This window comes from Homo sapiens, chromosome 12, assembly GCF_000001405.40.
Source record: "Homo sapiens chromosome 12, GRCh38.p14 Primary Assembly".
NCBI classification, from domain to species: Eukaryota; Metazoa; Chordata; class Mammalia; order Primates; family Hominidae; genus Homo; species Homo sapiens.
In genome coordinates, this window is record NC_000012.12 from 84,548,783 (window position 1) to 84,574,249 (window position 25,467).

Consider the following 25,467-nt stretch of genomic DNA (forward strand, 5'->3'; position numbering starts at 1 on the left):
TCAGAGAACAAATGCTTATAAAACTTTGAGATTTAATGCATAACCTTAATGGAATAAATTTTGCCATGATTGGAGAAAAATTCCTCTCTTCAATAAACATAGAGCCCAGAGGATAGATAAAGTAAGCCAAGCAGGTCTAAAATGTTCATGATATGGCATGTAAGGGTATAATATAAACTTGAACAAATATATTGGTCCTATCAACTTATCTTAAATATTCAGTTAACCAGAGGCCTACATTTCTGTTTGTGCTGTTGGCCTTTTCTTCCCAACTCTAATGACACTTAATCATAGCCAATAACCATGTTATCCGAACCATTTATGACCTATCTTCCTTTGACTAACTTGTGGTTATGTTTATACTCACATTGATCTTATAAATTTACATTTATTAAGGCAAAATATAAAGATTATTTCTGACACAATAAAAGTACCTTTTAAGAATTCCTAGTATTTTTTTGAATAATCCTGAAATATACTGTCAGTAGGTAAGTACAAATCAATAATAATAAAGACCATAATAAAGATTTTGGCCACAAACCAAATGACGAATAATATTAAAAGAGACATATGGACATAATGTTAATCTATAATTGGAGCAAACCAATGATGACATTATTAATTAATAATAACAGTGTTATTGGTGATATGTTGATGATGACAATGTTCATATGCATACTACAGGCCTTGTTCTTTTAGTGAGATTTTTATCTATCATCTCATTTGAATAAATGAGCAAATAGGCTATGGGATTTTAAGCAATTTTGCTGAGACCCCTGATTGTATTCAAACACAGTACTTTGACTCCAAAATCTACTGGTTATACGCTGGAGTGAGAAAGGAAGTATCAAGTCAAAAATTACCAAATCCAAAAGTAATAAATAAAAAGGAGGAAAAAACTACCTAGAATATAGAGTTTTAAAATTTTACAGCAAGCTTGCTTTTACTGAGAATATCCTCACCTTTAAATAAATGCAAAATGCCAGCTTAAAACTACACTAACTATAGAAACAATTCCCTTTATAAGTATTCAACAACATATGTAGCTAATGAATTTGTTAGTAACACTACAATAATAAATACATTCAAAATAACTAATTTTGTCATTCAAATATGATACCAGACTACAGTCTAATTAGTTTAATTAGACCAAAATATTCTAGTGCCTTTGTATTAAATTGAAGACAAATAATAATATTATCAGCTTTATAAAGACATTTTGTTTATGATTAACTATATTCCCCAAATTTTATCAGAAAGTATATATTTAAGCATATGCACATAAAGTATATATACATACATACATACACAGGCACGCGCACGCACACGCACACACACACACACACACACACACATAGAGAGAAGAGTGATAAGAGATTCTTTAAAAAAAAAATTCCGCCTATCAGTACCTAGTGATAATCATTGACTTCAGTATCAACATTGAGTCATGAGTAGTTAATGGGCTTTGGAAACACTCCCAAGGGATCCAACTTTTGTTGGTTTTATTTACTAATTCTGAGGCCCTATTAGTAAACCTGACATTGGACTCTAAAAAATAATGTCTTCATTTTCGTTCCTTTGGCTTAAGATTTTAATTATATTAAAAATTGGACTTTTGCTGGAAAAGGCTTAAGAACCCTGCAAAGAGGAAAACTAAGCATGGCATGTACTGAAAAATGAAACCATGAGCTGAAAACAAATGTACTTAGCCTTCATCTTGATTTGGAATAAGAAAGAAATTCAAGCTTCACAATAGATGTGTATCTAGTCACTTTAAAACAAAAATGTAATATAGTAGTTTAATTGCTCTCATCTCATTAATATAAATATTAAATTAAATAATACTTTTGAAGGATATCTCCTCTTTTCCAAACTGCTTTCCAGTTTTCAATTAACTAATTGCTTTTGCTGACAAAATTAATTTCAGATGTGCACAAGCTGGCGATTACATTTTTCAGTTTAAGGAAGTCAAAACCATAACAGCAAATGAAATGAAATCACAAATTAAATTATTAGATATAGGAATGTAATTTAGTTTACAGTGGTCACTTTAGGTAGCTCTAAAAAAAGATCCACAGGGTATAAATTTGGCCTAACCCTCAATTCCAATTTCTTATGTTTTGAGCCATTCCCTCAATTTCTACACATTGCTTATTCTATCTGCCCTTGCCTTCCTTGTCTTGATCTCTCTGCCTTTGTTCTCTGGTCTGCATTTGCTCTCCTTTTTCTGGTCCAGATGCTTCCTCAGATCACAAAATTTAGTTCTTTCACAGGCTTCCACATGAACACATTCACGAAATATTTCTTGAACTTAATAATTTTACTGAAGAACTGCACATTCAGAAAGAGTAACAAAACAGGCAATTGTACTCTGCCGTCTTTTTATTCAACCTCCATTTTTTCTCTCCACACACAACCCTCTCAATATTTTTATTATTTTATCCCACAGACAGAAATTACTTAACCTTCAGACCTACGGGAATCTGAGGTCTTCCTCAATGCAATATATCAAGGAGTTCCTCCTCATAAATCCAGTGCTATTTTTCAAGGATACATTGGTTTATATATAATATTGCTCATTTTGTCATAGAAACACAGTATAGAAATTCATGAGCTTGTAATAGTTTTCTCTGGGTTTGAATCCAAGGTGTACTCACACAGAAGATGACACTAGTGCTTTTGGGCTTGACTGTGCCTCTCCTGGTGGTTGTGTTCATTTGTTACATGATTCTTGTACAAAGCAATAGAAGCTGTCAGTCATTAAAATGGAAGGCATACAGCTTTGTGTCTGTCTGAGGATAAAATTGGATTTCTCTGTCTGGGTTCTGCTGATTCCTTTTTATTCCACAAAGCAAATTGCTTTTCAAAGGTGTCAGTATTAACCGGAAAAGCTTCTGCTATGACAGGTAGTACTAAAAGCTTATTAGGAGCAATACTTTGTATTCTCTACTGAATATCCTAGCATTGGAGAATAGATTTTTGTAATACAAAATTCATTTCCAAAGTTTTGTGCAATTTCACGTGCCTTACATTTTTTCGTTTCATTTCCATTCCCTTCTCATTTTCTTTGTGTCTAACACATCACATTTTTCACATTTATTTACAGTGCAATATGTCATTTTGGAAGCAATAGACAGCTTTAGCAAATGGCTATATTTGTGATGAAAAACTAGATAAAACTTTTGACATCAAGTATAAGATGTAATTTTATAACCTTAATTGAGAAACTTCAAACACTGCTTTAAGCATTCACATTTTTTTGTTTAACATGTTTTATATAATTGATTGCTTTGAGTGTAAACCAGCAGTAATTCCCTGTGGAACTTCTCTAAATTTCTATCATAACATTTGTTCAAACAAGCAAAATTATAACATAGTACATATTATTTTAGCACATATAATTAAATAGAATTTTATTTAAACAAAAGTTTTGATTATACATTATGTAACTTGATATCTTTTATTATTCATAAGCACCACAGTAATTTGAAAGGTTTGATGTAAATACAGCAGTCAAGTGAGGTTATTTGGACTTTTAAAAATATTTTAATTAATTCTTAATACCACTCAAAGATAAATAATGATTTGCCACTAAGGTGAATGGGAATGAAAGTGTACGATGATATTAATGAATACTACCAAGACATAACTTAATAAAAGTATTTCATTGTCCATCTATTTCTCTGGTTTGTCTGATTGAAGAAAATTATAAAATTATACTATCAGAAGCCTAAACTGGATAGCCACTTGAATTTTAAGTTTTGTAATCATTTAAATTTCATTTGCAATGTCATTTAAAGATAAAATATTACATGCCCTGTTAAGATGAATGGAAGCACAATTGCATTTATAGTCATAAAAATTTCATTGCATAAAGTAATATTTAAAGCGATTTAAAGATTAGTATTGGTTTAGTAAATATTAGAAAATGTTTTTCAAGTATTTCTTTGTAACATTAGAATATTTTAGCAATTTATTAAAAATACAAAATAAATGAAAACAAAAGTTGTTACTAGTTCATCTTTTGTTGCTGACACAATTGAAAAAAATAATGACAATATCTTAAATAGTATTGAATATTTCAAAGGAGTGTTCACATAATCATTAATGACATGCCAAAACAATAAGTAGTTTGTTTAAAAATGTACAAAAAAATTGTGTGATGAAATGGCATTTTCAGTTGTCATTGCAATATTTTTTACTTATTTCTTCATAACCTCCGTATGGTTATAATACTAAATTTGAGTTAATTCACACATTCACTTCTTCCTGGTGTCTGCAACACTCATCACTTATCAAGACCTTCCTCCCTGTTATTTCATTCTAACAAATTTCAACATAATGATCGATTCCTGATTATCTCCATTATATAAAACATCTGGAAAAACCTGGAAAGGTCAGTTATGGAACACTCTCTAACACTTCCAAATTCTGTTTACACAGCATTTAGAGAGGTGTTTTGGTATACTGAATGTTGTGTCTCTATTCAGATAATCATAATCAATTGCACTAGATATTTGCATGCTTATGATTTTTGTTTTATATTAGTTTATTTTGTATTTTACAGCTTTATTGAAATTTAATTGAAACATTAAAAACTGCATATTTAATATGTGCACCTTGAAAGTTTTGACATACATGAAACAATAGAACCATGATCACAATCAAGATAATGAACACATTTATTGTCCTCCCCCAAATTTATTCATATCCCTTTTTGTTCCCTCCCTCCTTTTCCTCCTTGCGCAACACCCAACCCAGTCCCTACACTGCCACAAAACTGAGTTCTTCCATTTGAGTTTCTAGAATATTTATAAATAGAATCATATGATATGTATCTTTTATCTGACTTATTTCACTCATTATAGTTATTTCGATATCTATCCATGTTTCTGTGGGTTTTCGTAGTTAAATTGTTTTTATTGCTGAGTATACTTCCTTTGTATGGATATAGCACAATTTGTTTATTCCTTCATTCTTTGATGGACATGTAGATTGTTTACAGTTTCAGACTACTGTAAACAAAGTTGCTATGAACACTCAAATACAAGTATTTGCATGGACATATGTTTTTCTGGACTAAATGCTTAAGAGTGGAATAGCTGGTTTATGTGGTATTTTATTTTATTTTATTTTTTATTTTTTATTTTATTTTATATTTTATTTTATTTTATTTCATTTCATTTTATTTTATTTTATTTTATTTTATTTTATTTTATTTTATTTTATTTTATTTTATTTTATTTTATTTTATTTATTTTATTTTATTTTATTTTATTTAGACAGAGTCTCGCTCTGTCGCCCAAGCTGGAGTGCAGTAGTCCCATCTCTGCTCACTGCAAGCTCCGTCTCCCGGGTTCACGCCATTCTCCTGCCTCAGCCTCCGGAGTAGCTGGGACTACGGGCGCCCTACAGACGCCCGCCACCACGCTCGACTAATTTATTTTTTTGTATTTTTAGTAGAGTCTGGGTTTCACGGTATTAGCCAGGATGGTTTCGATCTCCTGACCTCGTGACCGCCAGCCTAAGCCTCCCAAAGTGCTAGGATTACAGGCGTGGGCCACCGCGCGCGGCCTTTATTTTATTTTGTTTTATTTTATTTTATTTTATTTTATTTATTTTATTTTATTTTATTTTATTTATTTTATTTTATTTTATTTTATTATTTTATTTTAAGAAAAGGTCTCACTATTGCCCAGGCTGGGCTTGACCTGGCAAGATTCTCGCACCTCAGCCTGCCAAGTAGCTGGAACTACAGATAATTGAGAAAACTTTTCAGAAATTTCCCAACTGATTTCTGAAATGATTGCACCATTTCACATTCCCACTATGAGAATTTCAGTTGCTCTAGATCATTGCAAAAATGGATGTTATTAGTTTTGTTTTATTGGTTTTTGGCTTTTGTTTTTCTAACGGATGTAGAATAGTAGTATCTCACTGCAGTTTTAATTTGTCTTGGACCTAATACCTACTGATGTTGAGCATCAACAGCAACAAAAAGATTTTTTCTGTGCTTATTTGCAATCTTTTTGTCTTCTTTGAGGAAGTGAGTGTAGAAATCTTTCAGCCATTTTCATTCTTCCTTATTATTAGGTAGTGAGACTTGTTTACATATTATGGATATAAGCCGTTTATTAGATTTACGATTGGCTAGTATTTTATTTTTCTTACCTGAAAGTACTGTATAACACCTCTACAATTATACTGAATAGAAGTGGTGAAAATGAACATTCCTGTATTTTTCCTGTATTTTAGTGGTAGAGGCATTCAACCTTTCACGCTTAAGTATGATGTTAGCCATAGTTTTTTTGTTTGTTTATTTTTCTTTTTTTTTTCTCCCCCCAGGCACATATAATTAGAGAAAGTTATCCTCCTTTTGCTCTTCTTAAAGTTTTTCTGATGAATGGATGCTGAATTCAGTCATTTGCTTTTTCTGCATCTACTGAAATTATTATATGGTTTTCATCCTTTAGTTTATTAACATAGAGGACTAGATTTTGAATGTTAAATCAGCCTTACATTTGTGAGATAAATTGTGGGATAAACCCCACTTGATCATGAAGCATTACTCTTTGCTATGTATTGTTGAATTTAATTTGCTAAAATTTTATACCTATATTTTTACTTATATATATGAGGAGGATATTAATCTGTAGTTTTCTTTTTTTTGAATTATGTGTGTGTCTGGTTTTGGAATCAGGATCATGGTATCTTCGTAGAGTGATTTGGGATATATTTCCTTCTTTTAAATATTTGTAAAGATTTGAGTAAATATTTTTGCAATATTTAATAGGATTCATTAGAGGACACCAAGGACTACAGTTTTCTCTGTGGCACTAAATGTAAGTAAAGCAAATTAACTAAAGTTAAATTGCTTTAATAAATACAGAGTGTATTAATCTGTTCTTACATTGCCATAAAGAAATACCTGAGAGTTGGTAATTTATGAGGAAAATAGTTTGTTTGTTTGTTTTTTTTTTTTTTGAGACGGAGTCTCGCTCTGTTGCCCAGGCCGGACTGCGGACTGCAGTGGCGCAATCTCGGCTCACTGCAAGCTCCGCTTCCCGGGTTCACGCCATTCTCCTGCCTCAGCCTCCCGAGTAGCTGGGACTACAGGCGCCCGCCACCGCGCCCGGCTAATTTTTTGTATTTTTAGTAGAGACGGGGTTTCACCTTGTTAGCCAGGATGGTCTCGATCTCCTGACCTCATGATCCACCCGCCTCGGCCTCCCAAAGTGCTGGGATTACAGGCGTGAGCCACCGCGCCCGGCCGAAAATAGTTTTAATTAGTTCATGATTCTGCACGCTGTACAGGAATCATGGCAGCATCTGCTTCCATGAGGGAGATTTCAGGGATCTACTCATGGTGGAAGGCAAATTGGAGCAGGCATCTTATGTGGCAGAACCTGAGCCAAGAGGTAGTGGGGAGTTGCAAGACACATTTTAATAACTCTTTTGTTGGACAGCATCAAGTGGATGGTGTTAAACCATTCATAAAGGATCTACCCCCATGATCAAATCACCTCCCACCAGACCCCACCTCCAACAATGGGGATTAAAATTCAACCTGAGATTTGTGGCGTCAGGGGGGCACCCAGATCCAGATCATATCACAAGATTATTCAAACTATCTATTTCTTATTGAATAAGACTTATTTTTGGTCAAAATATAGTATATCTAAACAAATATTCCATGTGTACTTGAAAATAATATATATTTTGCTATTGTTCCACAGAATGTTTAAAAATCTAAATTTCATCTTATGGTTTATAGTTTTGTTCAAATCTCCCATGTACTTATTGGCTTTTATTTTCCTTGTTCTAATCTATTTTTGGAAGAGAAATATAGAAATATCTGCCTAAAATTTTAGATATGCTTGTTTCTTTTTACAGTTGTATCAGGTTGTTTGTCATATATTTGAGAGCTTTGTTGTTAGGTATATAACATTTTAGAACTGTTAAGTCCTCTTAATGAATTGACCCTTTTGTCATTATGAAATTCCATTTTTTATATCTAATAATATTCTTTATTCTGAAATATACTTTGTCTGACATTAATAGCCATTCATAATTTGTTTTATTAGTACTATCATGGTATATATACTACTACTAATTTAATTTTAATTCATGTGTGACTTTATTGTTGAAGTGCCTTTCTTGTAAGCAGCATATATTAATTTCTTCATCTTAAGTAAATCATTAGTAAGTTTTTCTTCATCTTAAATGAATCATTAGTAAGTAGGTTATTTAGGCCATTTCAGTCGTTTACATTTAAGGTGTTTATTTATATGGTTATGATTAAATATATCAATTTGCTGCATGTTTTCTATTTGTTCCCTGTTTTCTTTATTCCTTTTTAATCTTTTTTGCATGTTTTATTATTTGATAATTTTATTATTTCATTTTATCTCCTTTGAAGTGTTATTTAGCATAATCATATGTTTTGTTATTTTAGTGGTTGTTTTAGGAATATAGTACATACTTTTAACTTGGAATCTAGCCCATGTATAGTATAGGAAGTTTGAATCTGGTTATATATTTTTATAATAAAGTAATTACTTTATTTTTATAATAAAGTAATAAAATATCTAGTGCTGTCTTTTCTCTCTGATTTTTTGTCTTTTATGTGTGTCATTATTATTGTGTGAAAAAGTGAAACACCCTTTTACTTCTATTAGCTCTCAGAGTTTATACTTGAAGTGTGTCTCTTATACGGTATATGGTTAAGCATTGCTGTCTCATCCAGTCTGAAAATCTCTACATTTTAATTGGGATGTTTACATTTATATGTGATAAAAGTATTTATATGGCAGGTTTAAGTGTACTATCTTTCTATTTATTTTCAATTTGTCTTATATGTTCTTTTTTGTTTCTTCTTTTTCTACCTTTATTTATTTCAATATATATTTCTTAATATGTCATTTTATTTCCTCTATTGCTATGGCTTCATATGTTTTACTAGTTGCTCTAGGATTTAGAGTATATACTTTATCATACCTTATCTGGGATTAATTATATACCACCTAACATTTAATGTGAGAATCACAGAGTAACATGTTTATTTAGCCCTTCCCATGCTAATGACATTTTGTCATGTATTACACTTCTACATATGATGTAACTTTCTCCTAATAAAATATAATTTTGTATGAGTAGCCAATCTTGTTTTAAGTAAATTAAGGAAAGTAAAAATAACTTTATATTGATCCACATATTCACCACTTCCAGTGCTCTTTATTCATCAATGTAGATCCAAATTTCTATAAGAATTTTCCTTCAGCCTAAAAACTTCCTTTAATATTTTTTGAAAGTTTGGATCTGTTGGTAACACATTTTCTAAGCTTTGTTTTATACATATGCATGTGTGTGTGTGTGTGTGTGTAACTTTGTGTATACAGGTGTATAAATACATATATACTTATTTATATTTATATCATATATAATAATAATAACTTCAGCTCTATTTTTGAAGGAGATTTTAAATGAATATAGAATTTTGGTTGACATTTTCCTTTTTTTCCTGCCAGTGTACTGATTCATTGACTTCTGGAACACACATTTAATGAGAAGTATGCTGCCATTTTTGAATTTTTTAAAATAATTTGTCCTTTTATTTGCTTGTAATTATTTTTCTTAACTTTGAGGTTTACCATTTTAGCTATGATGTGCCTAAATGTGGTTTAATTAACATGATTCTTCTTAAATTTAATTTTATGTTGAGCTTATGTTTTTAACTTTAGAAAAATTTAGTTATTGATTTATGAATATTTCTTTCCGTTTAATCTTATTACTCCTCTCCTTCTGTATCTCCAGGTATAAAAATGGCAAAGCATTTGATATTGCCATACATGTCTTTGAGGCTCTTTTAAATTTAAATCTTTCTTTTCTTTGAGTTTCAGCTTGGAAAAGTTTTACTTGATCTCATATTTACTGTCTCTCTCATCAGTAATATTTAATTTTGCTATATAGTACCATCTGGTGGTACTAAAAATTTTAATTTCAAATGTTGCATTTTTCATCCTATAATTTCTACTTTTTTCTATTAGAATTGTCATGCTTCTACCACATATGCCAAGTCTTCACTTATCATATCCATCTTTTTCTATAAATTCTAAACACGTCAAAAGACGTATTTAAGAGTCTTTATTCGGTAATTTCAATGTCTAAGTTATATATAGGTCTGATTCTATCGATCATTTTTATCTCTATGTGTTTGCATGGCTAGAAGTTTCTTTTTATAAACTAGTTACGGTGGATAACACATTAAAAAGACTCACTTCTCTATCTTCCTTTAAAGAATGTTAAGTATAGAACTAGAAGATAGTTAATTATGGAGTCTACCTTAACGAGCTTTTACTCCTAGGGAATCTGTTTTAGTAGTCTCGACTGATTTTTTTGTTGGACCCTTGGCTCCCTTTCTAGTCAACAAAGTTTCATCATCTGTTAAAAGCTCTGCTTTTTAGCTCCTCAGCATCTCCATTCCATTTTAAGAGTCAGAGTTCCTGTAATCCCAGCACTTTGGGAGGCTGAGGCGGGGGGATCACGAGGTCAGGAAATCGAGACCATCCTGGCTAACACGGTGAAACCCCGTCTCTATTAAAAACACAAAAAATTTAGCCGGGCTTGGTGGCGGGCGCCTGTAGTCCCAGCTACTGGGGAGGCTGAGGCAGGAGAATGGCGTGAACCCGGGAGGCGGAGCTTGCAGTGAGCCGAGCACTCCAGCCTGGGCGACAGAGGAAGATTCCGTCTCAAGTTGGCAAATTGCTCAGAATTTTGACCATTATTTCAGACTCTTTCTGCATTGTTAGCCGTAAAATTCCATTTTCCTCTCAAAACCGACTAGGAGTACCACAAAGTCTGCAGTTTCTTATGTCTCATGCAAGCAATCATAAAATTTCCTGAAGTGGAGAACAGTGGCTAACGTTTGTATCATCTTGATGGATTTTCTTGTCTTGTGGCTTTTGCCTCCTCAGATCTAATCTCCCCTGGTTGCTCTCCAACGCATCAAATTGCTAAATTTGTATATTTCTTTTTTCAGAGTTTTTCTATAGTCTCAGTGGGAGGCAAGTCTATCAGCTATTCCATCATTTCAGAAATAGGAAGTCTTCCCTTCTTTTTATTTTATGTTTATTAGTGTATTGCTATGTAGTAGAAAATAGTTTTTTAATTTTCAGTAATTCACTTATATAGTTATCTATTCATTCAGAAAATATGCATTGTATAGCAGGTATTGTGTTAATTATTGAGAGAACTGTTTTAGCTAGACATTATTATATAACTCTTTATTGAACTCAAATTTGTGTGTTTATGTTATCTATTATTTATCAATGTATTTATTATGTATATTATATAGACACACATACACATCACTTTATCGAACTTTTAAAATATTATTATTACATTTTGAATTATAAGTAAACTGAGACTTGATGTTCATATATTTAATAATATATCTGGATTTTTCACCCAGCTGTAGGTAACTTTTTATAGCATAGGTCTTTGTAAGACATTAAGCAAAATAACAATAGTAAAAACAGTGACTGTCTTGTTTTAAGAGATTATCATAATACCTGGTTCAAAATAGGCGTGCTGGAAATTATTGCTTCATTTATAAATGATTGAATCCCTAAAACAAAACATTCTGCCTTTACAGAGACTGAATCCCAAATCTTGACATTATTTATATCAGCATTCTCACAAGTTAAACAATTGGCTATGTCATGCTCATCTGTTTGCCTAAAAAGCTCCTACTTTCATCTTCTATGTGCACGCACCATATTTAAATAGGCTATATCATAACTATTGGGACTAAATTTAAACTGCTCAAAAACATCCTTCAAGATTTATAGACAGAGCTTCTTGTTTGCATTTTATTTGTGCTCTGTGATTCATTTATACTAAAATTTATGACCCAGGTTGTAGGTATCCTTATGTGCCTTTTACATAGATTAAATAGAGAATTATGTAAACCAACCACATGTTAAATAATTAGCTACAAATTTTCAACCAAAACTGGAGTTGGTAGGCTGTAAGAATATATATATGAATAAGAACTATGCTTTACCTAAAGAGGAGTCTAGGAAGAGTCCAGTTACAATTTTGGAATACATTTTGTTTAATTAGAAGCAAATATTTTTTGTAATATTTGGTTTTCCTAAGTTTCATGGGACACTGACACCTGTACAAATCTATGGCATTAAAATTATTGCCTTAAATTTCACATTCTCAAACATTATATTGAACACATCAGCATGTCTGTAATTTTTATTCGGTCATATAACTCATGATACTTTACTATTAAAGCCTTCTGCTAGGAGTTTTATGATTATGTAAATTATTTGCCTTTTGAGGCTGTTGAATTACTCATCTGAATTTTTAACAAAGAGGAACCTCCATTAACTAAAGCATTAGTTTCTGAATTTGTGCTTCTTTATGATGTATGATTATATATTTGTGCTTATACATTTTAATAAAGAGTGTGTTTTGATGTAAACAGTGCTGATGTATTTGGTTATCTACATTGAAGGAATGACACTAGTACCCAAACAGGCAAATGTGGTATCATCTCCATATGTTAACAGAGAACTGAATTCTTGGCAGAGCCTCAAAGAGAAGCTAATGAACTTCCAAATAGAATGAAACTTTTTTGCCTTTTAACTAATATAAAGTATGAAAGACCTGATCTGAAGATTTACAAAGTTCATCAAAACTTTCAAGGATGCATCTGTTTTATTTGGTTGTAGTAAGATTTCACAACAGTCAAAGAGCATGGGACACAGCTGTTTTCCAGCTGGTACTTTGTAAGATTTCACTGGAGTGGAATGTTTGTTACACTAGGCTTCATTAAAATTAAATTCTACCTTCATTCTACTTACCATGGAAATTAATAATTTTATAAGCTATAGCTCATGCTTCTACAAGGTTTAGCGAAAGAATAAATAAAGTGGAATATGTTAGAACATCTGTAATTTCACAAAATAAAGGAAAGGTATTTTGAAGACATTTTGAAAGAAATATTTAACGGAAAGTCAACATTTAAACAGATCAATAATATCCAAAGTTTGAGGAAATTAATATTCTTGATGCTGAGCATCTCTTAATCATTCAGTCTGTTTAAATATTAGCCTCGAGATCAAACTGAAGAAGTAACTGATCTTAATCACAATTAATGTTTTTAAAGAACAGAAAAATATCTGAAAAAGAGAAAGTTTATATAATAATAATGAAGTAAATTGATATAAGCAATGCAAATATTATCTTAAGATCTGAAATCTAGGAAAAGAGAAAATGTAACAGACAAACAGTAAGCAGGGATGAAAAGTATGAAATGGTTTAAAATTTGCTCCCAGAATAACTGGCTTTAAATCTGTAGCCATTATAATGCTTCACTATAAGTTAAATAATACCACTGTAATAATGACTTAAACAATTCAGACATTTATTACATAAATTAACAAGAATGCTGGAGGTGGGCCATTTCATAGTTCAGTGACTTAATGATGTTATTAAGAATACAGGTTTTTCTCATCATTTTGCTCTGTCATCTTCAGAATAAGAGTACTATTCACATGATAATGCAGCAGACCTAGGCATCAATTACCGTGCAACACTGCACAATGAAAAGAGAAGATGGGGAAAAAACAAAACAAAACAAAACTAAGCCAGCTGTATCCTTTCTCTACCCTTCTTTCCATAAGGGAATAAAATTTTCTTCTAAAAACAAATAGCAAACATCCCTTTGAGGATCAACGGTCAGGACAGGGCCCTATGTGCATCAAAAGGGAAACCAATAACAATGAGGACAGGGTTTCTATGGTTGGATTATGTCAGCGGATTTTGTAGCTTTTGATTGTGTCTCCTGGTAAGAAGTCATTTTATACAAAAAAAAGGCATAATTTTGCATTAAGCAAAATATGAAATGATGCAATTTCAATACTAAAAGATGTATGCACTTTTTAATGGCATTTTTACAAATATGTAAAATGCAATTATTCTTATAACATAGCAAGATATTTTAATATGGCATAACATAAAACTTTATTTATGTTCTTCCTAAATAGGAGATAAAAGAAAGTAGTACTTGATAATTTTGCTTACTTGAATCATCAGATTTTTCCAGTTCCACAATGTGTAAGTGGATCAATATACTTTTAAATAGTAGAGGGGAAATGAAGACAGGCAGACTAGGAGCAGGATGATCATATAATTTATTTCCTAAACTAAAAAACTTCTTAAAGCCTTATTTATTAACTACTACTAATTATGTAACAATAAGTGGTATAAACCATACACAGCAGTGGCCATAAAGGATATTACCAAAGTAATTCTAAGATTCTCTTGACTGGGAAAAATTATTGTATTCATTAAACACAAAGTTCTTTATTATTATTCTGCCATTATTGCCTGCTTATTATGTGCTTGTCCTTTCCTGTGCATTTTACAAGTATCACTTCATTATTCTTTTAAAGAGCATGTGAGATAGATATTATTTTATTTTTCTTATGGAAAAAAATAACAAGATGAAATCCAAACTCTTTATTACGATGCTTTAGTATCTTACACTGCTTTGAGCTATACTGTATGCTTTCCTAACAAGGCCACTAAAGTAGCAGAATAAATGAAAAACAGCTATAAATCTTCTTTCCATGGGGACTTTATAGAGCACTTGAATCTCAACATCTGTGGGAACATTGTATCAAAGAAACTACAAACCTGTTTTCAAACAGAGATGATAAGGAATTAAGACACTTTAGATGATGTGGACAAAAATCACTCATGCGTATAGCAAACGGTTTTTGAACAACAACCAATTATGAGACACTGCAGTAAACAAGATGAAAGAAATCAAGTTCTTAGCTTCAAGAAATGAACACATAGCCTCAAGATGAAATAGGTAAAACTGGCTCCACCACATGGCATTATTAGATCAGGATCCCAGCTGCCATGGGTTTCCATGGGTGGAGAATGATAGAGAAGAGTTTTCCAAGTACAGGAAATGAACTGACTGAAGGAAGAAATGTTTACTTCATCTTTAGAAAAGAGCAAGTTGATTTTATCAGAGAGGAAATACACATACACACACATACTTACATACACATGGATGAGCTCATGTCCTTACATATTCTCCTACATACATGCTTATGCAATAAGTACACACACATTCACATACAGCTCTGCAGAAAAAAGAAAACAGGACAACGAGGACTCTGTGACTTTCTTTTAATTCTGAAAAAGCATATAAATCTAACATATATATATAGCATTTGTAATTGTAAAACTCACTTTAAATCTCAGATACAAAAATTCTTTTCACCCAGTAAAACTAATCATCAAAATCATTTTTTTGGAAATCATATGTATGTTATTTGTGTAAAATAAACATGAGATTTCCTTGACATGCTCCTAAATATTTATTGGGAAAATGTTATATCTGTCATCACATTTTTAGGGTATTTTACAAAGAAGAATAAAGCTGTAAATTATAGGACTTAGTCAAAATATAATAGACTAAGTCCTATAATACATGCTTTTTTCTGAAATAATGAAAGACCCATTCAGGAAGCTTCATCTGTAAAGAATGTTTTTCACAAAGTGATATTAAAGCTGAAAATCAAAAAGGGGAAAAGAGAACAAAGCGGGTAAATATGTGTGTTATTCTATTTAAAACGACATTTAAAAGCAGAATAGAAAAGAAGAAAGAGATCTGGTTTCAGATACAGTCCTCAGTACTGGAAAATAAAACAAACAGTGTGAGTCTGTTTTGCTTAAATTTGACATTTCTTGTTAGAACTTTTAAGATCTAACCTCGGTGGAGTGAAAAAGACTACAAAGTCTACTATTACACAACTTAATTTATGTTTCTCTAGCCTTTTACATTCTATAGACACCTCTGTTATTATCCTTTATGATTTTTGAGCAGTCCTTAGTACATTGGAGAAAATTTCTACTTATTGAATATTTTATGCTTGTTTACCTTAAACACTCCTGGGTACAAACTTTATTCATAACACACAAAGCTAAATACTATGTTTCTTCTTTTCCTTTTATTTTATGTTACCGTTGTAAGCATTAAGAACTTCCTTTCATAACCAGTTCCTTTTCTTTAGATTTAGAGGATTATATACTTGAGTACATTTTTTTTCAAAGAAATACTGCAACATGTATAAATTGTGAGAAGCCAGGAAATTAAAATCACAAACAAATTGTAAGAAATTGTAAGTCCAATGCATAAAATAATCAACATATACATTTCTTTGTGTTTCTTCTCTTTCCTCTGTTTCCGAATTGGTATAATTGTTACTTTTGATAATTTATAAGAAGGAATTATACTAAGAACAAGAAGTTTCTGTAAGGCATTATTTTCTGTCCCACACTAATAACATTACACCCTGTATTTTGCATAGACTGCTCTTGTCTGCAAAATAGAAGATAGATAGATAGATAGATGATAGATGATAGATAGATAGATGATAGATGATAGATAGATAGATAGATGATAGATAGATGATAGATAGATAGATAGATAGATAGATAGATAGATAGATTCCAACAAAAGGGATAGATGGAATTTCAAAAAAAGGTAGAAATGAGAATAAAGATTTTAAAAATAGAATATATAAAAAGTAAATCACAGAATGACAGACTTCTCTATCAACAATCATAATCCATGTATAATGTTCATAGCTGCATCATAGAAGTAGGCTGCTATAACAGCTGCCCCAGATCCACACCACCACCACCACCACCATTGCCAGTATTAGGCAACCACAAACATCTGAAAGCCACCATGATCAATAAGCTACTTATACTGCTGCTTAATTCTGTGTCATGTGTGTGTTGTTGTGATCTTCATGGGAAACATACATACCCTGAGCCCTGTTTCTCAGCAACCGCTGATGAACTATCCTCTGTGCTCATGGTGTCTCAGAGGAAAAATAAAAATTTAAATTCCTTATTTAAGGAGGAATTGCAAAAGCAACATAGAAAGTACAGTTTCTATCTACCCTCTGCCCTTAAATCTGCATAATCTATAATATCTCAGCTGTAATGTTGTCTAGGAAATGAAACATTTAAATTGCTATTATTCATAGCATAGAAACACAAAATATACTAAGGATGAAAAGGATTATTCCAGTCAATCTATCACAAAAATCACTAGCTAGTACTGGTCTACTTGTAATCTATTCTTTTGATTTTAAAACTTCAAACCAATTAAAATAGTAATAAAAATTTCCTCCTATCTGCTGTAAAGAAATGTATAAATGTCACAATATTATTTTATAAGCCTAGAAGATTCAGGATTGTGGAATACAGAGTAAGAGAACAGTGAATCTCATAAGAAATAGTCAATTGCCTTACATCATTTTCTTTAAAATTTATTTATAGTTCATCATTATTGTGTAGAATACTATGATAAGAATAAGGCATGTGGTATGGCAAGTAAGGAAGAAATATTATTTCCTAGCATAAATATATATTCTGGTGTATGAGTTCCGTATAGATGCTGTAACAAATGGTTGCAAACTTAAAACAACGGAAATGTATTCTCATACAGTCTGGAGGTCAGAAGTCCTAAATCAGTATTATTGGCCAAAAGTCAACGTGTCAGCAAGGCAGTACTTCCTGTTGAGTTCCTAGTGAACAGTCCCTTTCATGCCTCTTTCACCTCTGATGGCTGCTAAGATTCCTTGGCTTGTGGCCACATCACTCCAATTTTCAAGGCCAGAATATTTAAATATATCTCTTAACATTGCCTTTCCTGTGTATATGAAATCTCCCTTTGTCTCTCTCTTACAAGGATACATGTTATTGAATTGAAGACCCACTTGGATAATCTATGATAATCTTTTCATTTCAAGATCTTTAATTTAATCACATCCACAAAGTACATTTTTTGCCACATAAGATAACACTCACAGGTTATGTAGACTATGAGGTGGACATTCTTAAAGAATATATAACCAGCCTATCACATCTAATGATTACTTTTTTTGTCTTCCACAATCAAATTGAAGATAACTTGTTACCAGGTGATTAGTCATCCCACAGCAAGATACTTGTAGTTTAGCATTGGTCTCTACTATCAGAAGATGCAGTTACCATCAACCTTTTTTAACAATGTGGAATTTCCATTTCTACCACTATGATTATTTGGTTCTTGAGTCCATTCAGCAAATGCTGAAAAAACTAGGAAAAGGTTATGGCTGAAATCTATTGACTAGGTCGTCTTTTCCACCAAATTATTAAAAGTTATCATTCCTCTGGATGTCTTTTTGTGAATATCCAGATGAGTCTCAGATATTTTCACATCATGGAAAATATCCCATCCTGAAGCCCAACCTCCTATATTTTCTCCATTCCCCTAGTCACCATTTCTTATAATCTTTTTCCTTTCAAATTCCTAACTGGGAAAATGATAGACACTGTTCATAAATCAGCACAGATTCATAACCCTGAACATCTCACCTTTCAAGCAAAGTGGGCATCCATATGTAACACCTGAAGTTCTTCCTACTGAAGAGATTTTCTTTTTCCATTATACTTCAGGGCCAGTATTGAGTAGAGCCCTAATGTTAACAGCAGTCCTCTTCTGACTGGTATTTATTTGTAGAAAAAAAAACTATAAAGGAGGCTGGATTTGTTTATTTACTTAACAATCTTTTCACCAAGAATTCTCCATGAAACCATTGTTTTGGATTGAAACACTGCTGCTGGCATAGTTTTCCTACAAATGTGAAACTTCTGCTCATAAAATGTATGTAATGCCCTCATCTATTTGATTATGCAGTGCTACTGAATAGGCCAACCCTACGGCTTAATAGATGAAATAACACCCAGTGAATGATAGTCAACTCAGGATGCATGTTGGATGTTTATATGATGTGTGATGGTTAGTAGTTTAATCAATGCTGATGTAGTTAGGCTTTGTGTCCCCACCCAAATCTCATCTTGAATTGTAAACCCCATAAACCCCAGGTGTTAAGGGAAATACCAGATGGAGGTAAGTGAATCATGGGGGCGGTTTACACCATGCTGTTTTCTTGATGGTGAGGGAGTTCTCACAGGATCTGATGGTTTTATAAGGGGCTCTTACCCCTTCACTCAGCACTTCTCCTTTCTGCTGACTTGTGAAGAAGGTGCCTTGCTTCCACTTCATTTTCCACCATGATTGTAAGTTTCCTGAGGACTCCCCAGCACGCTGAACTGTGAGTCAATTAAACCTCTTTCCTTTATAAATTACCTAGTCTTGGTAAGTTCTTTATAGCAGTATGAAAACAGACTAATAAAAAGGACAAAGATGATTAGTAATAATAATTATAGTAATAGCTAACAGTTTTATTATATTTACAGGCATTGCATTAAGCACTTAATATATCTTCATTGGTTTGATGACTTTTTCATTGAATTATCATTTAGAGTGGCTATTTTATATACCAGACACTATTTAGAAACTGGAATTTTATCAATGTAGACAAAATAGCTTTCCATATAGGGCACACATCCTAGTGGGATTTGAAAAATGCAATAATTTAGTTAGCAAGAATATTATGCATTAGGTTAAAAGGTGTTAAGTGATTGAAAAAAAATGAGCAGAGAAAAATGTCTAAAGAGTGTCAATTGTAGGGGAAAAGAGCAGCTCCTATTTTAAATATGATGGCTTACGCTATTCTCGCATTGTAAAGATGATAACTGAGCAAAGAGAATTAAGTTCCAGGAAGTAACACAGGAACAGAATGTGTGGAGCCTTGTAGATACTTGTTATACATTGATTTTAATTGTGCACAGAGTGGGTACAACCAGATGATTTTAGCAGAGGCTTGACATGATCTAATTTAAATTTTAACAGGATTATTCTGATTATTGTGATCAGAATATGCTGTAGATCATCAAAGATACAACAGAAACTCCTTCTCAGGAATTATTATTATTATTATTTGACAGAAGGTCTCATTCTGTTCCACAGGCTGGCTGGAGTGCAGTGGTGTGAACACGGCTTACTACAGCCTTGACGTCCTGAGCTCAAGCAGTCTTCCCACATTAACCTCCCAAGTGGCTGGGATTATGAACACACCCCCAAACCCAGCTAAAGTTTTCTTTTTTTTAAAATGTATTTTGTAAACACAGGGTCTTGCCATATTTCCCAGGCTGGTCTCAAACTCCTGATCTCAAATGATCCTCCTGCTTCAGGCTCCCAAAGTTCTGGGATTACAGATGTGAGCCACCACAACTGGCCCCTTATAGGCTAAAATAGCAATGCAAGCTGGAGATGATAATTGTAGAAATGATATCAATAGAAATAGTAAGAAGTTAGTTACAGATATAAAGAGAGATAAAAACATAAATTTTATATGGATTTACCATACAGTAGAAAAGAGAGAGTAACATGAAGAACAAACCTAAGGAAAAAAACAAAAAAGAACAAACCTATGCTTTTGCCCCTTATCTGAGATTAGGAAAAGCACAGCAGAAAAGATTGTAGGGAAATCTGAAGTTTTATATTAATTTATCCAGTCCTCACAAAAACTTTACTGGATAGGTACTATTATTACTCTCAGTTTAGCGATGCTCAGTTGGGGTGCAAAAATGTTAAATAACCTGCTTACAGTTATAAACTAATGAGAGAATGAGCCATTTTTTGAAAACAGTAAATTTGGCTTCAGAATCAATGCTTTTAATAACAATGTTTACTGCTGCTAGGAAGCCAGGAGCTATCTCTCAAAATTAAAATAGATAACCGAAGAAAGCATGCTTCGCTTCTTTCCTAAACACTAGGGAACTTTGCAATGGTTCTCCTATCAGTGTTTATCACAAATTTCATGTAGATATTTGAGTAACATTGGATCTGTGGGCCATAAAGATCAAGTGGCAGAGTTGCTTCGCCATGGCTTAGATCAAGGGAATCCACTCTCTTGATCTGAAGCACATGCAAAGAGAATAGCATTGTTTCTGGCATATCAACCTCATTTAGGGTGGGGATTTTTTGAGTCCACATTTCAGTCAACCAGGTAAGAAAATGGTAAGAAAATTTCCAGGTACTCAACTGAAATACCTATTTGAAACTACTCATAGGCCGGGCGCGGTGGCTCACGCCTGTAATCCCAGCACTTTGAGAGGCCTAGGCGGGCGGATCACGAGGTCAGGAGATCGAGACCATCCTGGCTAACACGGTGAAACCCCGTCTCTACTAAAAATACAAAAACAATTAGCCGGGCGTGATGGCGGTTGCCTGTAGTCCCAGCTACTCGGGAGGCTGAGGCAGGAGAATGGCGTGAACCCAGGAGGCGGAGCTTGCAGTGAGCCGAGATGGCGCCACTGCACTCCATCCTGGGGACAGAGCGAGACTCCGTCTCAAAGAAAAAAAAGAAACTACTCATAATAAAGCTACCCATGTCAATCACTTTCTCTAACATTGAATTTCTTACAATTCTATCTCATTTTGAGAACCATTTTTTACATATATTCTTCAGATTTGAGTTGCTGTAAGTTAGCAAAGTTTACAATTCTTTGATGTATAAGCCTTCTCTTCATGTATTACATTCTCTTCTCTTCATTCTCTTCCTATTTATCTATTGGATACACAGCCCATATGCCCTTCTGGTGCAGGGTGTGATGTGATTCAATTATGTGTCTTCTGACATTGAGAAATTGTCAGGGTAGATAATGAAGATGATTGACAGCTTCCTAATAGGTAACTATCTCAGATGTGGTCATTACAGTATTTCCAAACAAGGCAGAATCCATCCAACTGACAAAGGATGAGGACTACTGCTTCAATTCTGTAACGTTCAGGAGAAACTGGGGCTTTGGGGTATTTGGAGTTATCCAAATATACCCTAATGCCATCATGCAAATTCTCTCTTTCTCAAACAAAGCCCTACTTCTTACATAAAAGACAAGGCATATCTGTGTTAGTTGGGCCGCTCACGTGATCAAAGGTAAGAATAAGGGCAGTCCACGGAGTTCCCACAGACCTTGGACTTGTTCTTTTGACAAGTCCTGGACTTGGCTATTCCCTGGACTTGTTCTTTTTATGTTTAAGTTCTCCCTCACAGTTGTCAGCTTATTGTAGTATCTGTATATATTTTTATTTTTGCCATGGTAAGCTATTGTAGAACAACTTCAGTCTACCAAACCTTACATTTGATAAGTATTTTATTTCAGCACTTCAGACTAAAATAATTGTTATGCCATAATTTTCTATAGAAATATCAGCCTCAATTTTCTAATGTTCATGTACACACCAGTGACTTCAAACTCAGCCAGAAAGAACCAATCTCAGGCTACTATATCTCTGAGTGCCTGTGTTCTGCAACTACTTCTAGCATCAAATATTACACCAGTTATGATTCCATTCTATGTAAGTGTCCATGCCAGCGATTTTAAGATAAAATAACTAGTTAGAAAATGTTAAGGTTTTATTGTTATCTAGGAAATGAGGGGAGCAGACGCAGTTGACTCTTAAAAGTGGCTTTCAGAAACGTCTCCCAACGTTATAAATTACAGAAGCAGTACTCCAAAAAGGTGCTGATTTGTCTAATCCAGAGAATATTGTCATTGCCATAGCTTCAGTCAAAAATCAGGTATCGGAAACGTATTACATTCAGAAAATTTCAGGCTCCTGAAAGTGGGTGACTTCAGCAAACAGTTGCCACATTTCTTCCCCCTTGACATCTGTAAGTTAGTGACTGATAATTTCCGGATACTAACACAGAAAAACAAGGACTTCTACAATTGTGCATGTCAGTAGAAACCACAGAACCAGCAGAAGTTTCAACCCACCCTACTTCCACCTTCACTATCCCACAAAAATACACCTAGTTGGCTAAATCTAAATTTTATCTACAAGCAAGCTGCAGATAATCTGGAAAATATAAGCGAATGTAATGTAGCTTTTCATCCTCTGCTGTACAAGGAGACACACTAAAAGGAAGATGGAATGGATGCTGAGGGCCGATCCACCATCTCCATTACAGGGGCTGTTGCAAGGCCCTCAGAGATTCATCTCTTATCATTTTCTACCGCAGTTTGCTTAATGCGAAATGTGAGCTTTGCCTCATCCTGCCAGTAACTGTTTGTCTTCTTTATTCTCTGACTTCTGCTATGTCTCCTTTTTTGTGGAAGTTATAATGCCTCTTCTGGGAGTCCTTTTAGACAGTATTTTGTTAGACTGGATGCAGTGGCTCATGCCTGTAATCCCAGCACTTTGGGAGGCCCAGGCAAGCAGATCATGAGGTCAAGAGATAGAGACCATCCTGGCCAACATGGTGAAACCACGTCTACTAAAATACAAAGATTAGCTGGGCGTGGTGGAGCGTGCCTATAGTCCCAGCTACTCGGGAGGCTGAGGCTGAGGCAGGAGAATCACTTGAACCCTGGAGGCAGAGGGTGCGGTAAGCCGAGATGGGGCCATCGCACTCCGGCCTGGCGACAGAGCGAGACTCCATCTAAAAAAAAAAGTGTTTTGTTAATGGATGCCTTTAAGCTTATTCTCTTTTCTGGCATCATGTATATGCAAAGGAATCTGATAGTGTTCCACTTAAGGGAGAGATACAGCCAACTTCCAATGTAGCCTTCAGTCTGGTTGCTCTGCAACCAGGAAGAAATTTCTCTCTACATATTTTCTCACCTTTAGACTCCTTAGTTGTGAGTCAACTTCCTGTGGGTCCATATCAGAATCTTTAATGTTTCTCTTGAAATCTCCCTCACTTGGTTTGAGGTGACCCTAGAGTACTGAAGACTTTCTAACTCCTGGTTTTAAAACACTCCTTTTAAAACTCTCCAAGTAGAGGACCTGAATTTAAAAATATTTTACTGGAATAAAAAACTAGATTAGAATATGTTTTGGCTTGCTCTTCAAAAGCTGCTCTGTTGTTAATGTATGTTTCTTAGCGTTGCAGCCTCAGGCAAAACTACAAAAGAGGAGATGTATTTTTAGACTGATATATGGAGAGAGAAAAAGGTGTTTATTTTAACATGAATATAAACAAATTTAACTTTGTTTGAAAAAACGATAAGTAGGGTGATTCCTACCTATAGTTTCTAGTGAGAGGTACTGTTAGTATAAGCATCAAAAATACCTGTTTCCCATTCTTGTTATACTCAATTAAGTTGGAATCTAAGCATTACTGGCAGGTTTGCCAATACTTTACAGAACTTTCAGTAAAAACAGTTTATTTACTTTTCACTCAAAGCCTTTTTGTCTCAAGAAATTATAGATTGTTTTATTAGGTTAGTGCAAAAGTAATTGTAGTCTAATGGCAAAAACAGAATTACTTTTGCACCAACCTAATATAAAGCAGTGGTTCTCAAATTTTAGCTCAAATAGAAACTACATGGAAAGATTTTAAAAAATAAGATTATGATTCAGAATGTCTTCTTAAGAAGAGGTCCAGGAATACGCACTTTTAATAAGTCTAGGTGACGTTAATGAAGTTGTCTCATTATCTATAATACAGACCAAGGCTTGGAGATGTAATTATTTTTAAGTGAGATTCTAAATGAGTGTTCCTTTGTATCACTGACTTAGGCATTATTAATAGATCAAACCTACATGCCTTTCTCTACCTACAGGATATGTAGCCTCTGAAGATCCTTGTGCAACTGCCCTTCTGGTGGGCTCTACCTACTGGCCTCAGATGAGCATCTTGGTTGTATTCATAAATATAGGTCAAGGTGGGGTTTGCAATATGCATCATCTCATTTAATATTAAAAAATAAAAATTAAATTAAGCAATTAATCTTAAAATGCTTAGATATAGATATTTTCTTCATTTGCACTAAAATAAAAAGTGAGTGATCAAGAGAATAAGCCATTCAACATAAGTCATAGAGCTGCCCAAGCATAGGTTCTGAATCTTTTTGTTATACTCCACTCTGCAGAGCATCCAGAAATAATTATAAAGTTTCAACAAATGCTCAATCAATTGCCTAATATTAATGCACAAAATCTTTAATTTGGCATTTTAATTTTCATATTTTCAATTTATTTTTTATTTTTTCTATGATTCAAAACCGTAAGTAAACACTAGCATAATTTGTTCGGGAAATGTGAATTTTCTCAAATGTGGATAACCTAAATATTATTTTGCTAAAAGTATTTAACATATTTTGGCAGCCCGAATGGAGGAAAATACTGTTGTGAGTGCTTTGAAAAATGAAAATTGTCTACTACCTGTCCTTTATATATTCAAAATAATATCTGTAAATGGAATGCTAGTTTCCTCCAAATTGTTTTGAAAACTCCAATGTATTTATGTTCTGCAGCTGTTATTATTGTTTTGTTTTCCATTACTAATCTGAAGACAATCCTTAGATTATTTTGCATTTAAATTTAAGGCATTTCTTTTCACAGGCCAACTCTCTGGGCTAAGTATCCAAATTCCTGCACCACGTTTATAATACAAAGGGTCATATAAACCCTGGCAGGATTGGTAGTTTCTCACAAACCAAAGAAAGATGTTATTAACA